At 43.5% G+C, this 25,479-nt stretch overlaps 2 long non-coding RNA genes across 6 annotated transcripts in view, besides 1 other annotated feature; both read left to right on the forward strand.

The window, feature by feature from the left end:
• The window catches only part of LOC101927711 (uncharacterized), a 92,142-nt gene extending 78,805 nt beyond the window's left edge, over positions 1-13,337 (forward strand). For 2 of the 5 annotated variants that reach the window (XR_949278.3, XR_247101.4), the window contains 2 exons: positions 1,539-1,724; positions 3,140-3,523. This is a non-coding gene — a long non-coding RNA (uncharacterized LOC101927711). Of the gene's footprint in view, positions 1-1,538; positions 1,725-3,139; positions 3,524-10,086; positions 10,349-13,247 lie in introns of those variants that run through there. The other 3 variants (XR_949279.4, XR_949280.3, XR_949281.3) reach the window with 3 other exon arrangements.
• Positions 13,338-15,166: 1,829 nt separating this feature from the next.
• On the forward strand, positions 15,167-24,336 carry LOC105373201 (uncharacterized). The gene is made up of 3 exons (XR_949282.2): positions 15,167-16,712; positions 18,826-18,922; positions 23,061-24,336. It is a non-coding gene; the product is annotated as an uncharacterized LOC105373201 (long non-coding RNA).
• Positions 23,332-23,391: an enhancer, noted in NCBI's record as "active region_2733". NCBI's record gives its function as "activates an Ori minimal core promoter by ATAC-STARR-seq in GM12878 lymphoblastoid cells {active_cell/tissue: GM12878}" and the evidence as "EXISTENCE:reporter gene assay evidence [ECO:0000049][PMID:35858748]".
• Positions 24,337-25,479: the final 1,143 nt, after the last annotated feature.

Consider the following 25,479-nt stretch of genomic DNA (forward strand, 5'->3'; position numbering starts at 1 on the left):
CATGAATAACTTGCCCAAGTTTACATAGGTAATAAGTAATGAAATGAGATTTGAATCACCAGACAGTCTGGCTCCAGTCTTTGCAAAGGGAAGAGTGGATACTGGAGGAAAATTAGCAGTCTCTGCCATAAGTTCTTGGACTAATGTGAGCTAAAGAAGACTGCAGTCACATGTAATTTTGCACCAAAGAAAATGTAAACCAGCCCAAAAGATCGTATGCACTTGTTCAGAACTGAAAGCCAATATGAAAACTCTTCTAAGTCACTGTGCTATCAGATAAGCCCCTGAATGACAAGGGCTTATCTGACTATCCTTTAGCATGGGGTTAAGAAATTCTTGCCGGAATTTTCCTTTCCATGCACGAGGCCGGATATCTTAATCAGTTAATTTTTTCTATGTAATAAACTATGCCAAAACTTAGTAGTTTAAACAATAGCCATCTATTAGCTCATAATGTGGATTACCAATTTGGGTTGGGCTCAGCTGGCTGGTTGTTTGCTGACCTTGGCTGGGCTCACTTTACATGTCTGTGGTCTGCTACCATTCAGCTTGTAGGCTGTGTTTCTGCACATGGGCTGCCATAGGCCAGCAACAGGAATGAAGGGACTACATTCATGACAACCTTCATCCAGTAGGCTAGCTTGGGCTGACTCATGTGGTGCAGGAAGGTTCCAAGTACAGCAATAGGACAAGTTCCAGTGGACACGTGCTTCCCCAGTTTCGGCTTACATCCCATTTTCTACTGTTCCATTGGCCAAAGAAGGTCAAGCAGACAACCCAGACATAGGGATGGAGGAAGACTTCACCTATGGATGGGAGGAGCTACAAAGCTATGTGCAAGGGTGTGGATAACAGGGAGGAGACGACTTGATGACCATTTGCACAATCCACCGTAGTATTGAAAGTAAAAATAAGTTTGGCCCAAGAAAAAGGAGTGTTTCTCAGCAATATTTCATCTTGAAGGTGAGTTTTATCAATCTGAAATACAAATTGCATCTTAAAATACGATTAAAAGCATTTGTCCCTAAATAACCACCACATGGAAGAAAAAAAGCAGAGAGAATGCCTGCAATATCATTATAGTGGGAAGAACTGGGTTCCCATTATCAACGGAAAGTTGAGATACTCTTGAAATAATCAATAATGATAACTGGATCAAGATTTCTATTCTTTATTTTTCCCCATTTAACATATAGATCCACTATTAAAATCTCAGGGTCACAAGCATACATTCTGAAAATGTACTTCAATGGCAGGCCTACCTGGCAAAGGTGGTGATGCTGCTGGCCTCTTCAGGGTTCAGACTGCAGCAATCCTGTCTGGTACAACTTGCCAGCTCCATTCTAATCGCCTCACCCCAGTGGCTGGAGTCACCAGGTGTCAGAAAGGCACCCCACTGATAAAAGAAAAAATGCTGACCTGGGAACCCTGACTGCCAGGCTCTGAATGTTTCAGTTAGATTGAACGAGGAAAATAATTGCCTGTCAAAACAGTTAATTACATTTGAGAAACCTTGTGTCCATCTTTCTTTTTGACAGGAGGCCTCGTATGTCTTCTTCTAGGAGGACTCTCAGCTGATGTTGGTTTTTTTAGTCTGTATGAGCGATGGACAAGCTGTCACTACCCATTAGATTTTGGGTGGTCCCAGGGGACCATCCCAAGTTTGAGGAAAGTTGGCAATGGAAAAAGGAGCATCTGATAGGAGCAGTCAGTGAAGTCCTTGGGTGAGTGAATTTTTATTTATTTACATACCATTCTCCTCCCCATGAAAAGATTTCAGGTGGCCTCCAAAAATATATGTATAACAGAATTTTACAAATAAATTATAATAAAAGGAAAATAGGGCAGAAAGAATTGTTAAAGTGAAATACTAATTGGCTACCGGGTTTTGTTTTGTTTTGTTTTTTTAAGGCAGGTCACATCAGGAATATATAATGTCAGGGAAGAAAGATTTCTTTTCCTCTTCCATTGTTAGGTTCATGGCTATAACAAAAGACAGATTAACAATACAAAAGCATACAAATGTATTTAAGTTTTTCATGACATTGAAACCTTCAGAAATGAAGATCCAAAGAAACAGGTGAACTTGTCTATTTTTATATTTAGTTTTGAAAAAGAATGAACAGTTGTGGAGAAGTATAATTGGACAAAGGAGATGACCTAATGGTGATAACTAGGGACAACTTAGCAAGGCCTATTTGTTCCGACTCATCTCTAGCCCTGTGTCTTCACAAATAAGGATGTTCCTTTTCTCTGGGTATAAGGAAGGCACTTCTCAAATGAAGGTTTTCTGACCTCCTCCAGGGGAGAAGGGCAGGAGAAAGTCGAAGAGTGGTTTTCCTGGGTTTTATGACATCCATCAGGGAAGAAGGGTTGAGGGACAGTGAGAGGGACTTTCCTGCTTCTGCTGTTCCCTCAAATGCCAAGGTGCCATATTCTGGGGTAGCATGTCCTGAACCCCATCAATAACCTATTTCATGAGTCCCAGTGTTCATGAGATAAAATTTATCTGATTTCTCTGGAGAAGAGCATTTCCTCTTACTATTACGCTTTGAAATATTCTCCAGAGAGTCCACATAGTGAAGACTCTGTATTACTGAGAACTGGTGCCTCACCACCCTCCTGTTGTAAATACTGGGTGACCAGCTTCACAGGTTAGGAAGCCCCAAGGGTTGGGCCTCTCAGCCCAGTTACCTAATGAGGCCCGGAAAGACAAGGCCCTGTGGGTCTGGATATGCCAGCTCACTCCAGGGGCATAGGAAGATCATCAGTAAGGGTTCAGCTGCCCTCTGGATTCCTGAAGCGTTTTTAGAAACATGCTAAGAATTCTTTTAAGGGAACCTAAAACTGGGTTCTCCTTTAGAAAAGAGACATTTACATGAAAGGCCATATACAAGTGTATGCCACAGGGCTGGTAAAGACACCAGGGAGGCTGCCCCACCTAGGCCTAGCTGGGACTGGGGCATGTGCCTTTCCAGGCTCACACAGACAGGGAGGTAAGCCCAGCCAACCCTGATGAGATTCTGGACCAGATTTCTTTACGGGAAGTTGAACTTACAGGACTACTTGGGAAACCGAGAGAGAACAGGTGAAGTGACTGCAGAAGTGTTCTGCGCCCCTGATAACTCCAGATTTCTAGTTCTTACAGAGGCAGAGAGCATGCTGTTCAGGCGCAGATGCTGGCGTTGGACACACCCAGATGTCAGTGTGAAAAGAAAATAAAATTCCGGGACCCCAAACTCAATACACCAAAGGGAAAAGGAAAGCTTGGAAGCTGAGTCACACAAAAAATCGGTCTTTTGTTTCTAAATAGACAGCTACAAGATAAAAGGACACATGTCTCTCCAGGTGGCCTCCCTCACCTTGACAGTGTGAATTAACAGCTTATCTTCATGGACATGGGACAAGAGGAGACTGGAAATCATCTCCCACACCACCCTCTCCAAGACAAATTCATATTTAACTTCTACTTCTGCTCTGTTGACTTTATCCTATGTAAAGTACAGATTTACTGAGCACGAGACAAATGCATAACTGACTATTTCTTTACCCTCTCCTTTTCACATGCAATATGCAGATTCAGTGAGCACTAATCGAAATCTCACAAGAATGTGACCATCCTCTCCCTCTTTTTTGTCTTTCCTCCTTTCCTCTCCTGCCAACTTTTTACCCTTTAAATATTAAAGCCCTGAAACTCCTCTTTGGAAAAAATGCAGGCCATAGGTCCTACTGTCTGCGGCTTGTGTCTCCATTTCCTGGGCGCATTCCCAACCTTGGCAAAATGAACCTCTAAACTGATTGAGACTTACCTAAGTCATTTTCTTCAGTGTACACCAGCATTACCACTGGTAGGCTGAGTGGCACTGAACAAGTGACATAACCTATCTGACATAACCTATGTTGCCCTAGACTCCTTATCATGGCAGGGGTGGCCCATCTGGGGTGGCCGCTGTGAAGACGCTGGTTGCAATGGGGGAGGCACAGCTAGGGCTGCGCACTCCATGGAGCCATCCAGAGCCAGCAACAGGTGGGAGCCATGCCCTCTTCTGAGTTGAAGGGGTGGGAGCCTCACCCTCCTGGGCATAGCTGCAGCCTCCCAGCTGCAGCTGTGGACCTGGGCATCCCTGTGCTCTGGGGCACCCGGGAAGGCCCCCTGCTCCCGCAGGCTTGGAAGTGCCTGCTCCTACTGCTTGGCCTCTCCCCACTCCCGGCGCCCACTCCAATTTTGGAGCAAAGTTGTGGCTGAGCCTGGGTGCTGTCACCACTGACCAGGTGTGTGTGCACTTGAGGTAGTGCTGATACACCAGCTCCCAGCTGCCTCAGCCCCCTCTGGACTTTGGGCACTGAGGAGCACAGGAGGGAGGCCGAGGGGGTGTTGAGGGTGGTTTTGTGTGGGCCTGCAGGCACTCCTCAGCATGAACAGCCTGGGCACCATGGGTGACATGTAGATGGTGGCAGGAGGCAGACAGGTTTCTGGGCAGAAAAGGGCAGGTCTCTGGTGAAGCCCACCTTCAAACAGGGAGGGCCTGAAGCCTGGGGGCTAGGCTGCCAATTCCATGTGGAGTCCACAGTCGGGAATGAAAACCTCTGGTGCTTTTTCTGGGCCACCCACAGACCAATCAGCATGCACTTTCTCCCTTCTGAACCCATAAAAATCCTTGGACTCAGCTGGACTCAGTCAGACTCAGGGAGATGTCGGGACAACCTGCCTGCAGATAGGAGCTACCCACTGTGGGTCTCCTCTCTGCTGATCTGCTGAGGGCTGCACTCATTGTGATGACTTGCCTGAGGAAAGGAGCTACCCACTCCAGGTCTCTTCTCTGCTGAGGGCTGCACACTTGTCGGGATGAGCTGCCTGCAGATAGGAGCTACCCACTTTGGGTCACCTGAGAGCTGTACTGTCATTCAATAAAGCACTTCTTCACCTTGCTCACAGTACAGTTCTCTGCACACCTCATTCTTCTTGGATGTCAGACAAGAACTTATGACCTGCTGAATGGCGGGACTGAGAGAGCTGTAACACAACAACACAACAGGGCTGAAACACACCCCCTGCTCACCATGTTGTGGGCAAAAGGGAGAGAAGGAGAGAAGAGCTGCAGCCCCTTGGGGAGCCCAGACCTAGGAGCTCCCCGAGCCAGGGCTGTAATACCCTCTTTGGGGCTCTGCAGTTCCTGGCATCTCCAAGCTTGCGGGTGCCACTCTGTTCCCCAGTGCCTGCAGTGGAAGCCACTTGTGGTACACCTGGTCCAGCTGCAGCCTCTCAGGGAGTCAGGCACCTGCACCTGGAGCTGCCTTCCCTGCCGCAGCCAACGTGCCTGGCTGTGCACAGTGGCCAGACCCTGTGATCATTTACTCACACACCCCTTGCAGCACCACACCACCTGGCTCACCCTTGGCAGGCATGGCATCTGGGCTGGTAGCATGAGCTGGGTGCAGCCTGCCAAGCTAAGTGGGCAGAATGAGTCCAGTGGGCCCTAGCAAAACTTGGGTAAAGGCCACAGAGGTATCTGGTTGGAAAGGCAACGCCCGAAGGATCCTGTGACACTTACATGACAAAGAGCTATGCATTTGCTAGTACATGGCTGTAAGTTACGGAGCATTCAACTACCAAACTTAACTAAAAAGGATGATATTCATCTCACACAACCAGGTGTCTGGGGGTCTAAAGTCCAGGGCTGGTGGAATGGCTCAGGAGAGAGATCAAGGACTCAGGTTCTTTCTAAATTCCTTTTCTAAAGAACTTTCTTCCTCATGCTGCTCCTCTGGGCTTTGTGTCTGAGTTCCAGGCAGGTAGAAGGCAGACAAGACCAATCCTTCTGAATAAGGCTTTGTTATTTTCTCCAGAGGAGAAGAAACTTCAGCTTGTATCTCATTGGTCAGAATCTGTCACATGGTCATCCCCAGCTGCAAGGAAGGATGGGAAGGCTGTTCTCCTTGCTCCTCCATTATGGTGGAGGAAGGCAAGGGAATGGGCCATGGCATGTGAAAAGCCATTCTGCACTGCATCTCCCAAGCCAGGAACAACATTTCTGTCAAAGCCCTTTTGAGGAGTGTCTTTGAAGCATTTAGCCCAGTACCTGGAACATAGAAAGCACATAAATGTTGCTATTATTCATGCCACAGGGCAGACGACCCAAAAACACGGACTTGGCTAGCTGGACCTAGGGACTTGTCAACTAAATGTACCAGATTTTCAAGGTCGGTCATAATTTAAGTCATTTATTTTCTGAACATGCATTAGATAATGAGCCGTGATTTAGGGTTCAGAAAATCTGATTAACATACCAAGAAATAATTCTGGTGGCAAGAGCTGAAGTAAAAGTTGTTTGATATGGTTTTCAGGGAATCAACATATAAGCCTGGGAAATGCAAGAAATAGATCCGTGAGGCATTTCTATACAGAAATGCAGCAGCATAATAACTGTGCTCTGAAAAACAAACAAACAAACAAAACAGAGTTTAAATCTCTTGGGGAAATCTAGGCTTTATGGAATGACTAGGGCGTTTTTCCTTTGCCCGGTAAAAATTATAGAGAGGAAAAAGGGTTTTCTTACAGAACTTAACATCAATTTACAGGAGCTAGGATTCAGAACTCTCCACTCCCCTCCAGCCTGGAGGAGACTGAATCTGTGCCCCAGGCATGCATATTAGGAGCCATTTAGAATGCAGCCCCTGAGGGGTTAGGGCGCTCACTACAATTATTTCTGGAAACTGAGCCAGGGGTGAAGTTCCTGGAGCTGCCTCCCTGAGGTCTAGCCCACCCCATTTCGTGGTTGGAAAGCAAGAAGGAAGCAGGGATAGGTAATGTTTCTATCACCCATCTACAAATAGTGTGAGCTGCCAGCCTTGCTATGCGTAGTACATGAACTTCAAAGGAGAGGACACGGGCCGCAGAAACTGGCACCGAGGCTTGGCGTTCTGGGAATCTCTGTGTGAAGGCGAAGTCGCTGCTAAACTTAGAAATTTGATCTATTTCCTTATTTGCGACAGTGTCCTTTTTAGTTCCCTGTGGAATTCCAGGTCTGCCCTGCTAATTCTAGAAAGCTAAGGGAGGGCTAGGAGGAGGTCATATAATTGATACATAATGCACAGGTACTAATTGAAGATCAAACTCACAGGATGTTAAGGCATATTTCATTGTATGGGCCAGCCAAGTGTCACAGCCCAAGGCTTCAGCAAAGTGGGAGAGCCGTTTTCAAGTGCTCTGACCTAGAATCTGCTCTCTTTCTGTCAAATGCCAGAGCAGGCCATGTCACTTTCTCAACTGTTAAAACTATGCAAAGAGAAAGAATGCACAGAACGAAAGCAGGAAGCCAAGTCCTGATAATAAGCACCTGCAGCTTTCACTTTAGGGAGATGCACCGAGAAAGGCAAATCCTCTTAAATGGCAGGATTGCACTGACTTTACACTGCTAATTTAGGAATAGAAGTCACCAGCGTCTGCCCTTCCTAGGGTCCTTCAAGCCAGCTCAGCCCATCCATTATAATCTGCATGCCTCTAATGGTGAAGTAGGGGCTGCAACATGTCACTTAAAAATACCACAGCCCCCACACCCCTCTCTCTGGAAAATATAGGAAAATATCATTTCAGTGCCTACTTGCAGGGACAGGTTTGTCCCAGAGAACACAGAGAAGATTCACTGGGACACAGGCCCGGGTTGAGGAGAAATAGGATCTTGAAAGGACTGGACTGGACTTTCTCACTTCTTGCTTGAGGTCTCAGTGATTCCTCAGCAAGGAGGGAAGGCTGAGCCTGCTAGCTGTCCTTGTCTATTTTAGCCTGGCCTATATGGCTACCCATGTAACCGCCCAACGGGCTCACTTTGCCCACTGCCTGGACATAGCCGATTTATCAAGACAGATGAATTGCATAGAGACAGAGTAATTCACACAGAGCTGGCTGTATGGGAGACGGGAGTTTTATTATTACTCATATCAGTCTCCCTGAGCATTCGGGGATTGGCGGTTTCAAGAATAACTTGGTGGGTAGGGGGCAACCAGTGGGTAAGGAGTGCTGACTGGTCAGGTCAGAGATGAAATCATAGGTAGTCGAAGCTGTCTTACACTGAGTCAGTTCCTGGGAGGGTCCCACAAGATCAGATGAGCCCGTTTATTGACCTGGGTGGTGCCAGCTGATCCCCCAAGTGCAGGATCTGCAAAGTATCTCAAGCACTGATCTGAGGCTTTACAATAGTGATGTTATCCCCAGGAACAATTTGAGAAGGGTCAGAATCTTGTAGTCTCCAGCTGCATGAGTCCTAAACCATAATCTTTTGGCTAATTTGTTAGTTCTACAAAGGCAGTTTAGTCCCGAGCCAAGAAGGGAGTTTGTTTTGGGAAAGGGCTGTTATCTTCTTTGTTTTACGCTATAAACTATAAACTAAATTCCTCCCAAAGTTAGTTGAGTCTACACCCAGGAATGAATAAGGGCACCTTGGAGGTTAGAAGCAAGATGGAGTTGGTTAGGTCAGATCTCTTTTTCACCTTCTCAGATATAATTTTGCAATGGCAGTTTCACCCAGAGTTAATTCTCTCCTGTCCCATACAGCTTAGTGTGGTTATATGATTGCATTTCAGCCAATGGGCTACAACAAGAGTAGTGGGAAACTTCTGGAAAGGGTCCTTAAAATGCTGGGGTACCAGTGTAAAGAGTCAAACTCTGTAAAATATTTGAAGAGATTTATTCTGAGCCAAATGTGAGGACCATGACCCATGACACAGCCCCAGGAGGTCCTGAGAACATGTACCCAAGGTGGTTGGTTTACAGCTTGATTGTACCATTTAAGAGAACCGAAGTTACAGGCAAACATCAATCAGTACATATAAGGTGTACATTGGCTCGAAATGGGAAGGGGGTCGGGGGGCAGGGGAGACTTCCTGGTCATAGATGGATTTAAAGATTTTCTGATTCGCAATTGGTTGGAAGAGTTAAGTTATTATCTAAAAATCTGGAAGCAATAGAAAGGAGTGTCTGGGTTAAGATAAGAGGGTGTGGAGATCAAGGTTCTTATGATGAAGCCTCCAGGTAGCAGGCTTCAGTGCTCTTATCAGATCTAAAAGGGGCCAGACTCTTGGTTAACTCTTTCCTGGATCAGGGAAAAGACCTGGAAAGGGAAAGAGATTCTCTACAGAATGCACATTTTCTTCACAAGAGACAGCTTTGCAGGGCCATTGCAAAATATGTCAAAGAAATGTATTTTGGGGTAAAATACTGTGATTTCTTTCAGGGCCTGTTCTGTGTTATATGATGTTATGCTAGAGTTAGGTTGGAATTTGGTATCTTATTGCCACAAAGAGTCTGTTTTGTCAGTCTTAAGATATCTTTTAATGATAATGCTGGTCAGTTCTGCCTGAATTCCAAAGGGAGGAGGGTATAATGATGCATGCCTGACTCCCACTGCCCATCATGGCCTGAACTACCTTTTCAGGTTTACTTTGGAATGCCCTTAGCTGAGAGAGGGATCCATCAGTTGGTTGGTGGGCTTAGAATGTTACTTTTGGTTTACAAGGGCATTACCTTATTCTCCTTTCCTTGCTCTTGCTGTCTGAAATGAGCTGGTGATGCGATGACTGGAGCTGGAGCAGCCACATTGGACCATGCAGCGCCTTTGGGATCAAGGCCCAGAGCTGATAAAGTGACAAAATAGAACAAGTCTGGGTCCCTGAGGATTTTAGGAAGTAGAGGAAACATACCAGATCTGGACTGTCTATTTCCAGGTTTAAGTGAGTGAGAGAAAAAAATTCTGTCTTAAATTTAAGTTATTTTTATTTGGAGTTTTGCTGTGCTTGCAATTGAATCTGTTCCTTACTACTATAGAAGGAGGTAGGCTTATTCTAAAATCATGTTGTGATTTATTGTATGTGCCCAGACATCTATGTAGGGGTATATAATTAATAGCTTGAGAGCTTCTTTAACTTAAACCTCTAAAACCATAATAAAATTAATGACTGAACTCACTATACATAGTCCTAAACACATATATATGCATGCTGATATTCATATTATATTATACTAGAGTAAGCTACATATATTTTAGTCCATGGTGAGATGTTCTACATTCCTGGCCATTTTGCTGTTTGTAGAATATCAAGGTATCAAGCTCCTTTAGACGTTGATAAGAAGTGGGGTGTGACCTGGACATAGCCACTGCGGAAAGGATCCCACTGCCCCGCCCTGGGGACAGTGGCAAGTAAGGACTGTACTCTGTCCTCTGGGCACTGCCCTGCTGGGAGACCATGCTTCCTCGGCTACATGGGATCACTTGGATGTCAGTGTGCCCAGGTGCTTGATGGCACTTATGACTAACTGCACCAGCTTTGCATGTCCTCCTTCCACATTTATGGGGTAAGTAAAATAAGGACTATCCCTCTGTATTCAAAGCACTGGTGTCAGGCTTTTTGATACTTGCTTTCAAACCCATTCTTGACTGATAAATCTCTTCTAGTAGAATCTCATTTTATTGAGGCTAAGGACTTCTCACTGGGCATAAGTTTCCCTGGAAACCCAGGCCCATTAGTGCCTCTGCTTCAGCCCCAGCACCTGTGCAGTATCTGCACAGACCAGCTCATGCATGTTGTGTGCTGAGTGAGTTCACGTTGCAGTTAGTAGTGGCAGTGAGGAGAGCTGAGTCATTCCACCACATCATTCTGTTAGCATACAAAGCCCTTGAGTGAGCATGGACCCAGGCAGCAGACTTCTGAGCCCTTCTCATGCAATCCAGAAGGTTAGCTTCAAAACACATCCTTAAACTTCTTTCTTCTTCTTTTTCTCCTTTCTCCCTAGTCTCAAGATGAAACCTGGAAGCAAATTACAGAAACCTTTTCTTCCCTTAGTTTTAACACATAGCGTTGAAATTTACTTTGAAATTCCCCTCTCTTCCCTTTTCTACCATACACTCTTTTACCCCATGCACATTTATCTAACTGTATGCTTGTTAAACTCATACCATGCACATTTATCTAACTCTATGCTTGTTAAGAAATTCCACGGGCAAATTTGAAACAAATCAGGTGTAAAAGCCCCATTGTGGAATTCTCCCCCACTTGAAGATTGGACACTCTAAAGGCTGTCCATTGTTGAGATGGCACCAGCCTATGCTCCAGGTGGACCATAACTCAAGATAGGCATTGAAACAAGACATACATCCCCTATACCCCCACACAACCCCTGCATGCCTCCTATATCAAAGTTCCCTTTTTAAACCCCTGTACTCAGCCCAAACTTTTGAAGTGGTTCCTTTAGAGCATGAGCCTTGGCCATTTCCCTACTCCCAGTGCTAGCTTTGGAACTAAAGTCACTTTCCTTTCACTGCACTTCATCCTTGTTATTGGCTTTGGAAGCAGCAAGCAGCCGAGGCTGTGCTCAGTTACACTCAGACCTGCTGAGTCAGCATCTTCTGTCATGAGTCTTGAACTGAATCAGAGGAAGCTGAATTTGGGAACCACTGATCTCAATGACAGAATGGATATTCCTATTTCCAAGTCAAATGGTCATAATTTGCCTATTAGTAGATACTACTGGTTGCAAACAGAACACGTATTTTCTCTTTCTTCCTTGCAGTCAGAGCCTCAATTGTGCTCAGGTGTCTATCCATTCCCTGCTCAGCCTCCTGCCTCAGGAGGTGCAGATTCCACCACTAGCTCCACAGAAGAGCCAGTTGGGTTTGAGGACAATGATGTCATTTCCTGTTGCTAGGGTTGATTCAGGAGGGGACATGTGACTCCAGCCTCAACAATAAGAAATGAGATAAAGATCTCCAGGGGTTTCTGTCTCCTAAGAAAGCACTTCCAGAGGAGACCGTAGCTCTTTTTCATCAGCTGTTGGGTCTAGATATGATGTCTGGAATAGCTGCAGCCATATAGCTACTGGATCAAGGGCCGCAGAGAGGAGACAGGGATAGAATTTTGATGTAATTGGGCTACTAAATCAAGTAATCCGTGAACTAAAAATAAAATTTGAAGCCCCTCAAATGACCAAATGGACTATCTCCTAGCCAAGAGAACCCCAGAGTAACCTTGAAAACTGAGTTCTCTGCCATGGTGGATGGAGGCTCAGACACTTGTTTTACCCGCTCCCTTACTAACCACAGTTAGGCTTTCTTCTCCAAGGGCTTCACAGAAACAAGTCTTTTCCAAGGACTCCACCACTGATATTGACAAACTGCCAGATGCTACCTCTCCTTTTTTGACTGGTAAGAGACCACTGGCCAGGGAATGGTTCTGGCTAGTCTATGAAGAATGCACCACAGTACATGTTTTTGTGCTCTCTGCTTCACTTTTTGACATCAGAGGGCCCACTCCTCCCTCAGGTCATGTTAATGCTGCTATTTTTTGTATCTGGGACCCATGAAGGGGCATAAAGCTCAAAACGCTCACGTGCATGTTTCTCCTCCCATAGATATTCATGACTCTTCCTAGAGCTTATTAAATACGTATATTTGGGCATCCCACTCAGCATAAATTTCTGTTCCCTTTGTCCCTTCCTCACAGTGTCAGGCTGGCCCGCGCTGGCCTGGCCGGAGGCTCTGCTTCCCAGCCTGTCAGGGTGGCCACCCTGCAGGCTGCAGCCCTTTATGAGAAATAAATTGCCTGATTTATGAACATCACCATTTTTCAGTTGACAGATCCTTAGGCACCCTTCCCCCACATATACACCTGCTCAGGGTTAGAAAATGTAGTTATCACAGAAGGGCTACATTTCCATCTTGAGCACCTGTGCTTGTCAAAGACCCTGTAACATCTCAAAGCTCTTTTCAAATTGTGCCTCCTCCACCGGTGGGGCCCATCACAATCTCTCTCTCCCTCATTGCACCCTCATTTCCCTTAAAATTTGTATCGCTATTTATGGTCATTCGCACACACATCGATCTTCCCTTCTTCACTGTGAAATTCTGGGAATTAGGGACTTGTCAATCACCTCCACGTCTCCACCCAACATCTACCCCAGGCATGGCAGATTCTTGCAGAGGCAGTGAAAACCCAGCGCTGAATGGCACAAGGTGTGTGTGAGGGAACTGCACACTGCCTGTGCTTGTTGACAGGGTTTTGCTTTGCCGTGGTAAAGTCCCAAGTTAACATCCAACCAATTCTCACTAAAGCAGCCGTGGAGAGGTATGATGGAGTTGTTCTATTCAGTGTTATTACACCTCCAATACCCCGCACACCTGAGCAAAGACAATTTCACTAGGTAATTTCGGGGCCAGGGTTTCTTCTTCTTTGTTAATGTCATATTATTTGCTTTTCAGGAATCTGCATTTAAATGGATAAAAACCAGAATTTAATTTGGAACAAACCTGGGTGGAAGAAACATACTAAAAAAAAAAAAAAAAAAAAAAGAAGAAGAAGAAGAAGAAGAAGTAAGGGGCTGGGAAAAGAATCATCCTGTGGAAAATTTAGTTACAAATTGGATTTTCCTTTTTCTGGTACTTTAATTTGCTCCTTCCATGCTTTTGTTATTTGACTTAAGAAAAAAAGCAGAAACCTTTAACTGGTAATAATAGTGCCTACAAGTTAAGTATTTCCTTTTAATAGTAGCAATCATAATGGCAGCTACAGTGTAGCTATTTTATTAGCAAATGAGTAATTTATAATCAATCAAAATGAATTTCTTTTCCAACAGCTATTTTATTATCTTCGTATTTTTTCTTTGCAGAGCTTCTAAAAAGCTTTTGCCCCAAACAGATTAACTTACATTTTCTCCTCTCTCTTTCTTTCTCTCCATCCCCCTTGCTCTGTTACTTAAAAGAAACATTCTCAAATGCCTTAAACTTTGGGTCTCAATAATGAATAAAAGGATATATTATATATTATCAAGGATAGCCTTTTCTAAAAATGTAATTTGGACACTGTTTCATGTTTTCTGGATGGTAGCCAGCAGTGGTAAGTAGGTTCCGACATGGATCACATCCCTATAGTCTATTTTTTTAAATGGTGCTTTTTAAGTCTCTGACTAAATTTGTCATAGAGGTTTTAATATAGGAAGCAGTTAAAGTTTTATTTTTCTTTAAAATATAAAGTGAAGCCTTCTACCCTGCAATATAACCAACCAGGGGCAAAATGGGGAGCAGTCATCCAGCTTTATGTTTCTTTTCCTCCTTTTTTTTTTGTGTCAAAGGCAATGGCCCTCCAAGCACAATGGGGGGCTACTTTGACTGTTCCTGACACCCAGGTGACCTGGGCATGCGCTGGTTGAGTGGTAAAGTGCAGGAGAGAATGTCAGTGAGAGTTGCTGCTCCTGGGGGCATTTACCTGTGCTGCATAAAAAACGTGATGGTGCTGGGTGGGGGCACCTGCTGTTAGCTGAGACTCTGGGCTAGAAGTGTGGGGCCCATGGCATTCCGTGAAAACTGGCTGACTTGGGTTATTAAGTTGAATGAAGTCTTCCTCTAAAGACACGCCTTGACAGCACAGAAAGAAAGACAGCACAGAAAGAAAGACAGCACAGAAAGAAAGAAAGAAAGAAAGAAAGAAAGAAAGAAAGAAAGAAAGAAAGAAAGAAAGAAATCTGCCACATCAAGCATAAATCCTGTTAATTCATAAAGTAGAGAGCAGCAATTTGCAAAGGGCATTAGCAAGAAGGGAACTTTCTGGAAATTACCAAGTGGTAAAGACTCAACCCATAAAGACTTGATTTTCAGTAAAGGGAGAAGCAAAGAAACAGTCCTGAAGGAGGAGGGGCCGTGGCAATGTTAGGCTTCCCAGGGCTGGCAGGTAGCGTAGGCCTCATGGGACACACAGAGAGACCCTTCCCTTCCTCAATCTCAGCTCTTGTCCTTATTCTGTATTTCCCTGAGAAAAAAAGAAGCATCAGAAGAAGTCCTGCAAATCCCACTATGAAATCCCCCACTTCGCCTGCCTCTCAGTTTCCAAGACAACATCCTTCAATCTTTCCTGTCATTGGCTTCTCCCTCCCTAGAGAATAAATGGGCAGCAAGAGCTCTCTTCCTAACAGCTATAATGACAGTACAACGATAACGGCAAAACCCTCCAGATTCCGCCACCTCTTCCCACTGCTGTGTCTTTTCTTTGCTTCCCTCAGCTACATTTCCGAAGTGGTAGTTGTGACTGACAGCTGCCCGCCCATTCCACTGCATCTCCTCCCATCGTTCCATAAACCTGCCCTGACTAGGCCTTCATTCTTCCCGGTCTTCTCAGTGTACTCTTGTCCAGTTATCCGGATCTGTGCATTGCTAAATCCAGGGGTCAGTGTCCCAGTCTTGATGACTGCTGCCTCCTCAAAAGACTTCCTTCTCTGGGCCTCTAGGACACCTGCTCTTTTGGTCTCTGCCATTGTGAAGTGTATATTTGGTCTTTGGCCTACTTCCTGGTATATGAATCCTAAAATCCCTGGAGTCTCCAAAGTGATATCTTTTTGTATGCTCATGAGTTGACTAATGGCTGGCGGCCCCTAGGTAGCTTCAGGATGGGTGCTGGTCACCTGAAAGACCACGGCAGGATTAGATGGGTGATTCAGCCCCACCCCAACCTGGGCTTTCCATAGGCATTGGAAACAGGGGGCAGGCTTGTGGACACAGCCCTCAACCTGAGGGATCTGATGCTACCTCTAGGTATTCATCATCAGAATGGAGTTGGATTGGAGGACAACGTGCTGATAACTACTGCAGAATTGATTGCATGCTTGCTGGTAGGAAGAAATCCTCACATATTGGGTCACAGAAGTCTTCTGTGTTGATTATTTTTGAGTAAGAGAATAGACAAAACACTTCAAGTGTGTTTTTTCACACTCGGTGTCTCCTATAATACTTGATGGGCTACTCCTTCTCAGCCTCAGTCTCATTTGCGGGTTTCCTTCCTCTTTCTAGTTTCCAAAAACTAGCTTCTTAGGAGGTCTTTGATCTTTCCGTGTTCACCCCCTATCCCACAGCTTTAAAGACATCTACAGGAGGAAGACTTTCATACTAATATCTAGACCTGCCTTCCAAATTGCATGCTCACACACTTAACATCTCCTCTGACATTCTATAGGCTCTCAAATTTTGCATATCCAGAGCCGAACTCTCCATTTTTACCACAGACGTGTTCTTTGCACAGTCCTTCACATCTCAGTTCTCATATCAACCTCATTCTTTCTAGTTGCTCATGTAAAAAAGGAAAAATTCTAGAGTCCATATTCTACATCCCAACCATCAGCAAATCCTTTCCATTCTGCTTCAAGATCTACCCAGAATCCAGTCGCTCCCACTCCCTCTGGCCTGCATTGCTGCAGTGGACTTTCAACCAGTCTCCCTGAGTCCATCCTTGTCCCTACCCACTCCACTCCTGAGAGTGGCTCTTGTTCTCAGCCAACGCTAGCTGGAGAGCTGGGGTAAGTTATGGCTGGATTTAATGAGGGTGACACAGGGAAATGGAAGGAACACTGTCCCCACGAATTCCTGACTGCTAGACCAAAAGGAAAGCCACTTCCATGGTGACATTTCCTGCAACAAATAGCTCAAATTCTAGTTCCTTCCTTCTCTCCCATTTGTGAGTCTCTGACCTGGCAAAGGAAAGTTACCTAAAATGTATCTGTTCTCTCCTTTCTCCTTTTATGTGAGCCTGAAGATTTGAACCGTGAGCCATCCAGATACAGGCTGGGACTAACATACATGCAGACCTCCCTCCAGAAGGAAGACCAAACAGAAAACCACCAGATCTGCTAAATGATAATGTGGTTAATGCTAAGAAGCACATTCCCAGCAGTTAGAACAAAGGTCTCCTAAAACACTACTTATTATAAAAAACACAAGAACAATTTGGAAATTGTCAAATTCAGGTCCTCAAGATGATTGAGGGGAATTTTACATCTACAAATCTACCAACACAAATTTGTAAACTTTCTTAAACCATTAGGAGATTTTGCAATTTTTTTTTGTTAAGCTCATCAGCTATCGTTAGTGTTAGTGTGTTTTATGTGTGGCCCAAGACAATTCTACTTCTTCCAGTGTGGCCCAGGGAAGCCAAAAGATTGGACATCCCTGCTCTAGAGGGACTGTCCCTCCAGGTTAACTAATTCCTAAAGATGGTAAACAACTCATCTGTGAGCACACCCTTCATATGCAAACCACAATACAAAGCCCACACTCGGGCCGCTATCCACCCACCTGCCCTATTACCGCAGGGCAAGACATCAGACACTGAGGACATTTCCTATGCCCTAGAGCCTGCTGAAATTTTTCAAACTAGTAAAGCCTAAGCCTGCATGTTCTGCCTCACCCATTCCTTCCTGCAGAAATAATAATAAAAGCTCTGGCCTGCAGTTCCCCGGTCTCCCTGGCCCTCCTGATCCACCTTGGTGCTTCCCTATGGTGTGTGGTGTGTCCCTCCTCCTGGGAACTGTGAATAACAAACTGTCTTTTCAATGGCAAAATCTTACCCTAATCTGTTGGCATTACTATACTTCAGACTTTCTCTCAATACACTACATTTTAAAGCAAACACATAGCACAAAATACATTTAAAAACCGAATACTAAAATATAAGCAATATAGAGAATCCTGGAAGATAAGAGAGTAGATGTAAGAAATAATAATTGGAAGAAAGTTTAGACAGTAGTGTCAGTTAGAGCACCAGGGAAAAATGTTTTAAAGAGATCAATATTTAATCGTAGCTGGGAGAAGAATTTGAATTTCGAGAATAAACTCAAAATTATGTAGATTTTCAGACAGGGATGCCTACAGAAATATAGAGAATAAAAAGCTACCTACCAAAGAATGAACAGACTTCTCTTCAGCACCCTGTTCCAAAACAGTGAACAGGCAATGGAATACCGTATCCAGCCAAAGTGTCACTTATGTGTGATGTTAACTGAAAGACATTCTCAAACTATGCAAGGACCCAGAAAGTACACCACCTTCAAGCTCTCCTTAAAACAGTCATCTCTTTCTATACATTGGCCAATTGATGAGTAAATTTAAATGACCTAAAAAAGAGAGAGAGAACTATGTTAAACATAATATAGGTTTGACATCCCTTATCCTAGATGCTTGGGACCAGAAGTCTTTCGAACTTTGGATTTTTTTTTTCCAGATTTTGGAATATTTGCATTATACTTACTGGTTGAGCATCTTTAATCTGAAATCTGAAATGCTGCAATAGCATTTCCTTCGGGCATCATGTTGGTACTCAAAAAGTTTCAGATTTGGGAGCATTTTGGATTTCGGAGTTTCGGATTAAGCAGATTCAACCTGTGCTACTGAAAGTGAATTATTAAGCCCAACCAATTCCTTTTATTGTGTTATGATTGATGCAAACATCAAATAATCATTGAAAGAGATGTTGCAGAGCAGCCTAAAATTTTATATAATTTTGATTGATTGTATTATATTCCTCAGATTAAATTCAGATAAATAGAGTGAAATACAGGGCAGGGAATGCGGCTAAACCCGGAAAAGGACTATCCACGTCTAAGTAGCTCCGGCCAGATAGCAAGGTCATGTAAACGGCTGCAGTGGCCCCATTCCTGAGTGCATGGTAACAGGGGTGGGAGGACAGTAGTTACCAGTTTAGGGAAGAGAGACACCTCAAAAAATAACAACTGCATGAGCCGAGATTGCACCACTGCACTCCAGCCTGGGCGACAGAGCAAGACTCCATCTCAAAACAAACAAATAAACAAACAAACAAACAACCTGCAGAGGAGATAGAAAATGTTTTATTGCAGATGTTGAAAAGAGGAAAAAGCTAGTTTCTGAGTTTCTAATATACTTCTTAAGTGTCACCACTAGTAGAATAAGAGTAGAATGAATAGTTTCTAAATTTCTAGGCATAAAAATGTTCAGTTGTTTCTCAGGAACCTTTTGTTGACTTCAGAATTACCAAATTTAGGAACCTTTCCGAGTATTGTTAAATGACCGCCTGACCCATGAGGCCACTTTGGGACTCTGACTGTCGTGATTCCAGTACCCAGAATGGACAAAACCAGGTAAGCAGCACCCCTTGCAAAGTATTGTTTTAACAAGATTTATTCCTATCAGGGGCTGCTACAGATGATTGTGCCCAGGACTAATACAAGTACATGGGCTTTTTCTGAGCCTCTGTGGCAGACATTTCCCAGCTTTCTGGAAATTACAACATCCTGTTGTTTATTTGATTCCCTAACTTCCTCTCCAATTCCCTCCACCCAAATTAAATATGGTTTATTTATTTAGTTTTTAATGGATGGGAATTTAAATTGTTATTGTTCTGGAAATTTTTAGAGACTTTTACAATATCCTCTTACATAATGTGAGCTATTACTGGGTGCTGAGAGTCATAGCTTTAAGGCAATATTCAAAAGAAAGAAAGGATGCAGAGCCAGGAGGGGGAAAAAAATAAATCAACAGAGAAGGAGTGTGACATGGAATCAGGAAGGGTAGAAATCAACAGAGAACTTAATTAGTAAAAGACAATGGAACTCCCAAATGTCCTCCAACAGAACCTAGGTGGGAGTGGATTTTTATATTCATGTAATTGCCAGGGAGATTGACTTTACTCAGTTCATTAATTCAAATAGAAATGTTTCTGAACACACACTTGCAATGGTATAGGCAATTTGGTAGCTATCAAAGAAAAAAATAAAGATCAATAAAATAATGTTTATTCCCTTAAGGAAGTTTCTTATAGATTGTATGAGGGAAAATGAATGGGAAACTGAATCAGAGAACAATAAACAACTATGTTCATGAAGACAAGACCAGAACTCAGGCCCCAGTCACACCTGTAGACTCTTTTGACCAAATAAGGCTCCTTCTCTTGTTATCAATGTTATTGGGTGTCAGAAGAACAGCTGCCCTGTTAATTACCCTTGTTTTGTCAAACAGCTTGGGAATCTCTCATTAAAACGAATCTCTCAAGGGATGAGCACAGAATACCCAAGGGAGGCCCTGTTGATGTATCCACATTTATCTAGAAAAGAACTTGATTAAAAGGTGTTGATATTTATAAATTGATATCAATAGTTATATATTATATAGTTATATTAGAAATGCTTGTTCCTCGGTGCCGTAAAGAAATAGCAGTTGAACATAAATTTAATTTCTTCAGCAAGGCCATTTTTACTTTCTGCAGAAAGTACACTCGCCAGCAGTTTTGCCACTTTGTTTGAGAGGACACCGAACAAAGGACACGGGGTCATTTATAACTTGACGCGTTCACCTTACTGCTGTGTCTGGTTTCCATTGGCTGGAACGGGACCTCACATTCTGTATTTGTCCTGATTGGCTAGCAACTTAGAACTTTTTAAAGGAAGCAAAGGTAGAGGAGGACAAAGGAAGGAGGAAGTAACTTGTGGAATGCTGAGAAAGGTAAAAACACCTTCAAATTAGGAAGAGGAGCAGGCTATGACCTAATGCTTGAGTGGACCAGTATAAGCATGCCAGGGCAAATATTTAGGCTAAATTGTGGGAGGTGAGAACATAAAGTACATGGATTTCTTTATCACGGCTAGCAGATATTTAAGAATGTTAGCACAGGTCTTTGAATAAATTTTGCTTTTAAGAGAAGTTGCTGTTTATTCCTAATTAGATGGGGAGGAAAGTCTTTGAAGAGGAACATCTACTTTACTTTTTTACAGTTATATATTATATATTATATAGTTATAATATAGATAGTTTATAAATGTCTTGTCTGTGAAAGTGACTATAACCTGAACTTTTTTTTTTAAGAGGATGTGAAAGTTGTATGGATTTTTTGTTACCTTCACTTTACTGCATAGGAAACAATCCACCTCATCATTTAAAATGACATGGGTATCAGTTTTGTAGACCTTTGGGGTTTTTTTTTCAGGTTTAATTTCAGTTAACAAAATTTAAAACATGACATTCCCTTGCAGACATTGTTGTATACCAATATGTATGGTTTCTTCTCTTTTTAAAATATTTTTGACCGTCATGTCACAGTTGTCAGTGAGAGTTTATAATACCCAGAATGTGCTGCATCTCTTGTCTCAGTAAGTTTTAAGCAACATTTAAAAATATTAAAGCATGTTGCTTGACCTAATTTTTTAACTTTTGAGTTGTTCCATTAAATGGAGTATCTCATACATTTCAACTATTTTATACTTGCAGTTGTTAAGAGTTAAAAGGTAGATGGACTTGTCGCAGACAGTGAGTTAAGGAATCCTTTCACATTTTTCCCAACTTTAAAATTAAGGATTCTCAGGGCTCCGTGTAGAGCAGTGAAAATAAGACCTCGTGTGTGTGTGTGTGTGTGTGAGACAGAGTGTGCACGCACGCACATGTGTGTGTGTGTGCCTGGAGGAGTATTGGTGTCCCACTTGGGTGAGAGGATTGGCTGTGAGCTTCAGACCAGGAAATGTGTCATCTTGCCAAGCACCTGGCTGAGTGTGCTGGAGTGATGATCTTGAACAGAAACTTCCTTTTATGTTATTATTCACTACAAAGCTAAAATGGCCAAATATATACTGTGAAAATTGGTTTCTTTTAACAAAAGATTAGATCCCTTCTTCAGCTGTACACATTTTAAATAAAATCATATTGAACTAAAAACATGTGTTGATATTGAGCATACTGCTCAGGCAGGTAAAGGAAAAGTAAATATTTAGGAAGGTGAAGGGAAAGGGAAATATGAATTCTCACCATCTCATAGCTCATAGCCTTACATCCTGTAAGAAGATGACACTGGCAGGGTGGGAAGGGGAGGGAAGTTTAGAGCTGGGTTTCAAGACTGCCCTTACGTTTCATTTAGCAGGGGCACAGAACTCAGCACGATGTCTGCCCAATAGCTGGGGCTCAAAAATGTTGCATGGCTGGATGGCTGCCTGGATGGACGGGCATGATGGCTTTCTGCTAGTTAGTTCAGGTGTGAGTTAGTAAGTAGATAGCCACCTTCCCAGGAAGAATTCTGTAGCCTGAGTTCTCCAGTGAGCCATTTGCCAAATAAAATAAAGGGCTCCCTTAAGGAAAAGACCCTAACGCAGGCTCTCTTACGTAGATTCCTACCTGAGTCTTAGGCTACTTCAAGTTCACTTTCTATGCTAATGATTCCTTCTGATAGAAAGGATCACTTTTGTGATCAAGGGCTCAAGCTTCTTGATCAATGGACAGAGCCCTTCCAGACTTCCTCCCAACTTGCTGTATCTCTGCCTGCATTTGCCACTCTTTCTTGCTATAGCTACTGCCTAAGACTACAACAAAGTAAACTTTCCCAGTAATCTCTCCAATCTGGCACAACCAAGATCACTTTTGTGTATCTCTTCCATAGGCTTATGCCTTAAATAATTATACTAGTAGTGCTTCTACCTGCTTGTACCTATATGCCTTAAATAATTATACTAGTAGTGCTTCTACCTGCTTGTACCTAGCATTTATATTTTTCAAAGTTATAACTGCTCCTAGGTTAAAATATCAAATCATTCTAGAAAGAAAAATAGCAGTCTCCTGCCATGCTCCTCCCCTCCCAATTCTCACTTCTGACTGGCAACATTTTTAACTTTAGCCGTTCCTTACACTGCTGTTTCTTGATAGTTTTAATAGTTTGGAAATCCTTGCCATTTACTATTTTAAAAATGGTTTCACGCTCTTACTTCCCATATCTCTCAACATGTTTTTCTTTCCACACTCATATTCCTTTCTACCCAATTAGGTTGCACAGTAATCTTTACATTTAATGTTTATATTATGACCCTATAAATATTTATGGCTGAGCTATTTATTGAACCCTGATTATATTTTCTTTCTTGGACAAATTGCATTTTTCTGGATGTACTATGTGTCTCTGCTGGAGGCATACCTCTCTCTCAATACTTTAGCAGAGAAAACCTACCAGCTTCTTTCTTATCCATGGAGACCTCCATCTTGCACCCTTCTGCCACCTTGCCCTGTATGGAGAGGTTGCCCTCTGGGCCTGTTGTACAAACACCATCTTCTGAGCTCTCTCACATCATCCTGGAGATGGCTTCACTCTCTCTTGTTGAAGCACCCGGTATATAAGTTAATGCCTTTCTAGATTTACTCCTATGTTTTCAAAGAGTACAAACACGAGCTTCTTGAGAAAGCATGTGTGGGAGAGTTTTTCTTTTTGTTTTTCAGTATCATGCATACCTAAAAATGTCTTTACTGCAGAGGCCAGACCATGAGGCCAGTTCCATCAAGCCCGCCCTGGGCCAGCAGGAAGATGAGCAAGACTGAGAGGAGATTTGATTCAAGCTGAAAGAGACCGGGGAGGTGCAGGACTTGAGGAAGAAACTAGACATGTGAGAGCTGTGGCCCTGCAGATGGGAGAGGGGGTACAAGTGGAGGCCATTCTAGTGGGTGATTTCCTTCAGATTAAGACAGGTAGTATGTATATGGGGCAGGAGGAGAAGGGCATGGATGGGATCAGTAAAGAGGAAGACCTCCAGCCAAGGATGTCATTTTCTGAAGAAACCAACCCAGGGTAGGAAGGCATGAGCGTGATGAAGTACATGGAGACAAAGACAAAGCAAAGGAAAGGGCTCCTGGACCACAGGAACAGAAAATCAAACTGAAGAGTGCAGAGGACTGTCTCTATGAACTTTCAGAAAACACATGTTTGCTCCTCAAAGAAGGCCAAGGAGATGCTTCCCACCCAATGCTGGGTGCATCCCAAGGTGGATGTCTGCACTGATGCTGAAATAGAATGCATTGCCACCAAGGAAGCTAAAGCCTGGCTGCTAGCAGAGGATCAGAATAAGAAGAAAGACATTGAGACATCTTGTGTGCACCAACATGTGTGATTATGTGTGGTACCACCCATTTGATCCCAACGGCTCAATGCCCTCACAGAGAGAAACAAAGAAGAGTCCAAGGCCTGGCCCTAGAGTGGATGACACCAAGAAGCCTAAGCAGTCCCTTCCAAATCACCAGTGTCCTGCTAAAGAGAAGGCCACCGATGCCCATCACCATGAAGAGTTCAAGAAAAACGAACAGTCCTGAGAGCTGCTGAAGGGAAGATATGCAGGATGGGCTGTAAATAGCACCCCTCCCCTAATAAAAAAAGACTTCCTGGACCAAGGCCTACTGATTGGGAGTAGCAGACAGTCCCCCAAATCCACTCTATTAGTCCTGCTGCTCACCTGCCTGATTTCTCAAGCACTGGATGTGTAATCTTTTGAGACAAAACAATATTCAGTTTTCCTACTTGGAGGCAACTTCATTCTTAGGAGCATTGACATATATTTTGTATATGTATTACATACCGTGTTCTTATAATGAAGCAAGCCAGAAAGTGTTATTAAGAAAATCACAAGGAAGAGAAGATATATTTACTATTGATTAAGTGGAAATGGATCATTACAAGTTCTTCACCCTCGTTGTCTTCGCATTGAATAGGCTGAGGAGGAGGAAGAAGATAAAGAGTTGGTCTTGCTGTCTTAGGAGTGGCAGAGGAGGAAGAGGTGAAGCAGGTGGAAGGGGAGGCAGGAGAGGCAGGCATACTTGTAACTTTTATTTTTAAAAATCCACATTTAAGGGCCGGGCGCAGTGGCTCACGCCTGTAATCCCAGCACTTTGGGAGGCCGAGGCGGGCGGATCACGAGCTCAGGAGTTCAAGCCCAGCCTGGCCAACATGGTGAAACCCCATCTCTACTAAAAATACAAAAATCAGCTGGGCATGGTGGTGCATGCCTGTAATCCCAGCTACTTGGGAGGCTGAGGCAGAAGAATCGCTTGAACCCAGGAGGCGGAGGTTGCGGTGAGCCAAGACCGCACCACTGCACTCCAGCCTGGCAACAGAGCAAGACTCCTCAAAACAAAAAATTCACATTTAAATAGGCTTGTGCAGTTCAAACCCATGTTGTTCAAGGGTCAACTGTATGTGTGTTTGTGTGTGTGTATACACACATGGTACCACTCTCTTTTAACTTACTGTAGTCTATAATAATTTATGATAACCAGCAGTGAAAATCATCCCACTTTGTTCTTCTCTAAGATTTCCTTGACTATTATTTGTCGTTTGCATTTTCATACAAATTTTACAATCACCTTGCAAAACTTCACAAAATTCTACTGGAATGTTGACCAGAATTGCATTGAATCTAGAGATTAGTTTGAAAACAAAGTTCACATATTTACAAAACTTGGTCTTCTACTTCTTGAACTTGGTTTATTTCTGCATTTATTTATATTATCATTAACTTCTCTTAATGATGTGTGCTATGATTTGAATATAGTTTGTCTGGCCTCACAAAGTCTCATGTTGAAATTTGATCCCCAGTGTTGGAGGTGGGGCCTTGGTGACAGGTGTTTGGGTCATTGGGGTGGGATCCTTCGTGAATGACTTGGTGCCACTATAGCAGGAGTGAGTGAGTTCTCACTCAGTTGCTGTGACAACTATTGTTAAAAAGAACCTGGCACCTCTTTTCTCCCTCTCTTCTTCCCTGTCTCTCCATGTAATGGGTGGCTCCCCTTCACGTTGCTCTATGAGAAGCAGCTCCCTGAGGCCCTCATTAGAGGCAGATGCTGACATCGTGCTTCTTGTACAGACTGCAGAACGGTGAGCCAAATAAACCTCTTTTATTTGTAA

This window comes from Homo sapiens, chromosome 1, assembly GCF_000001405.40.
Source record: "Homo sapiens chromosome 1, GRCh38.p14 Primary Assembly".
Classification (NCBI taxonomy): domain Eukaryota; kingdom Metazoa; phylum Chordata; class Mammalia; order Primates; family Hominidae; genus Homo; species Homo sapiens.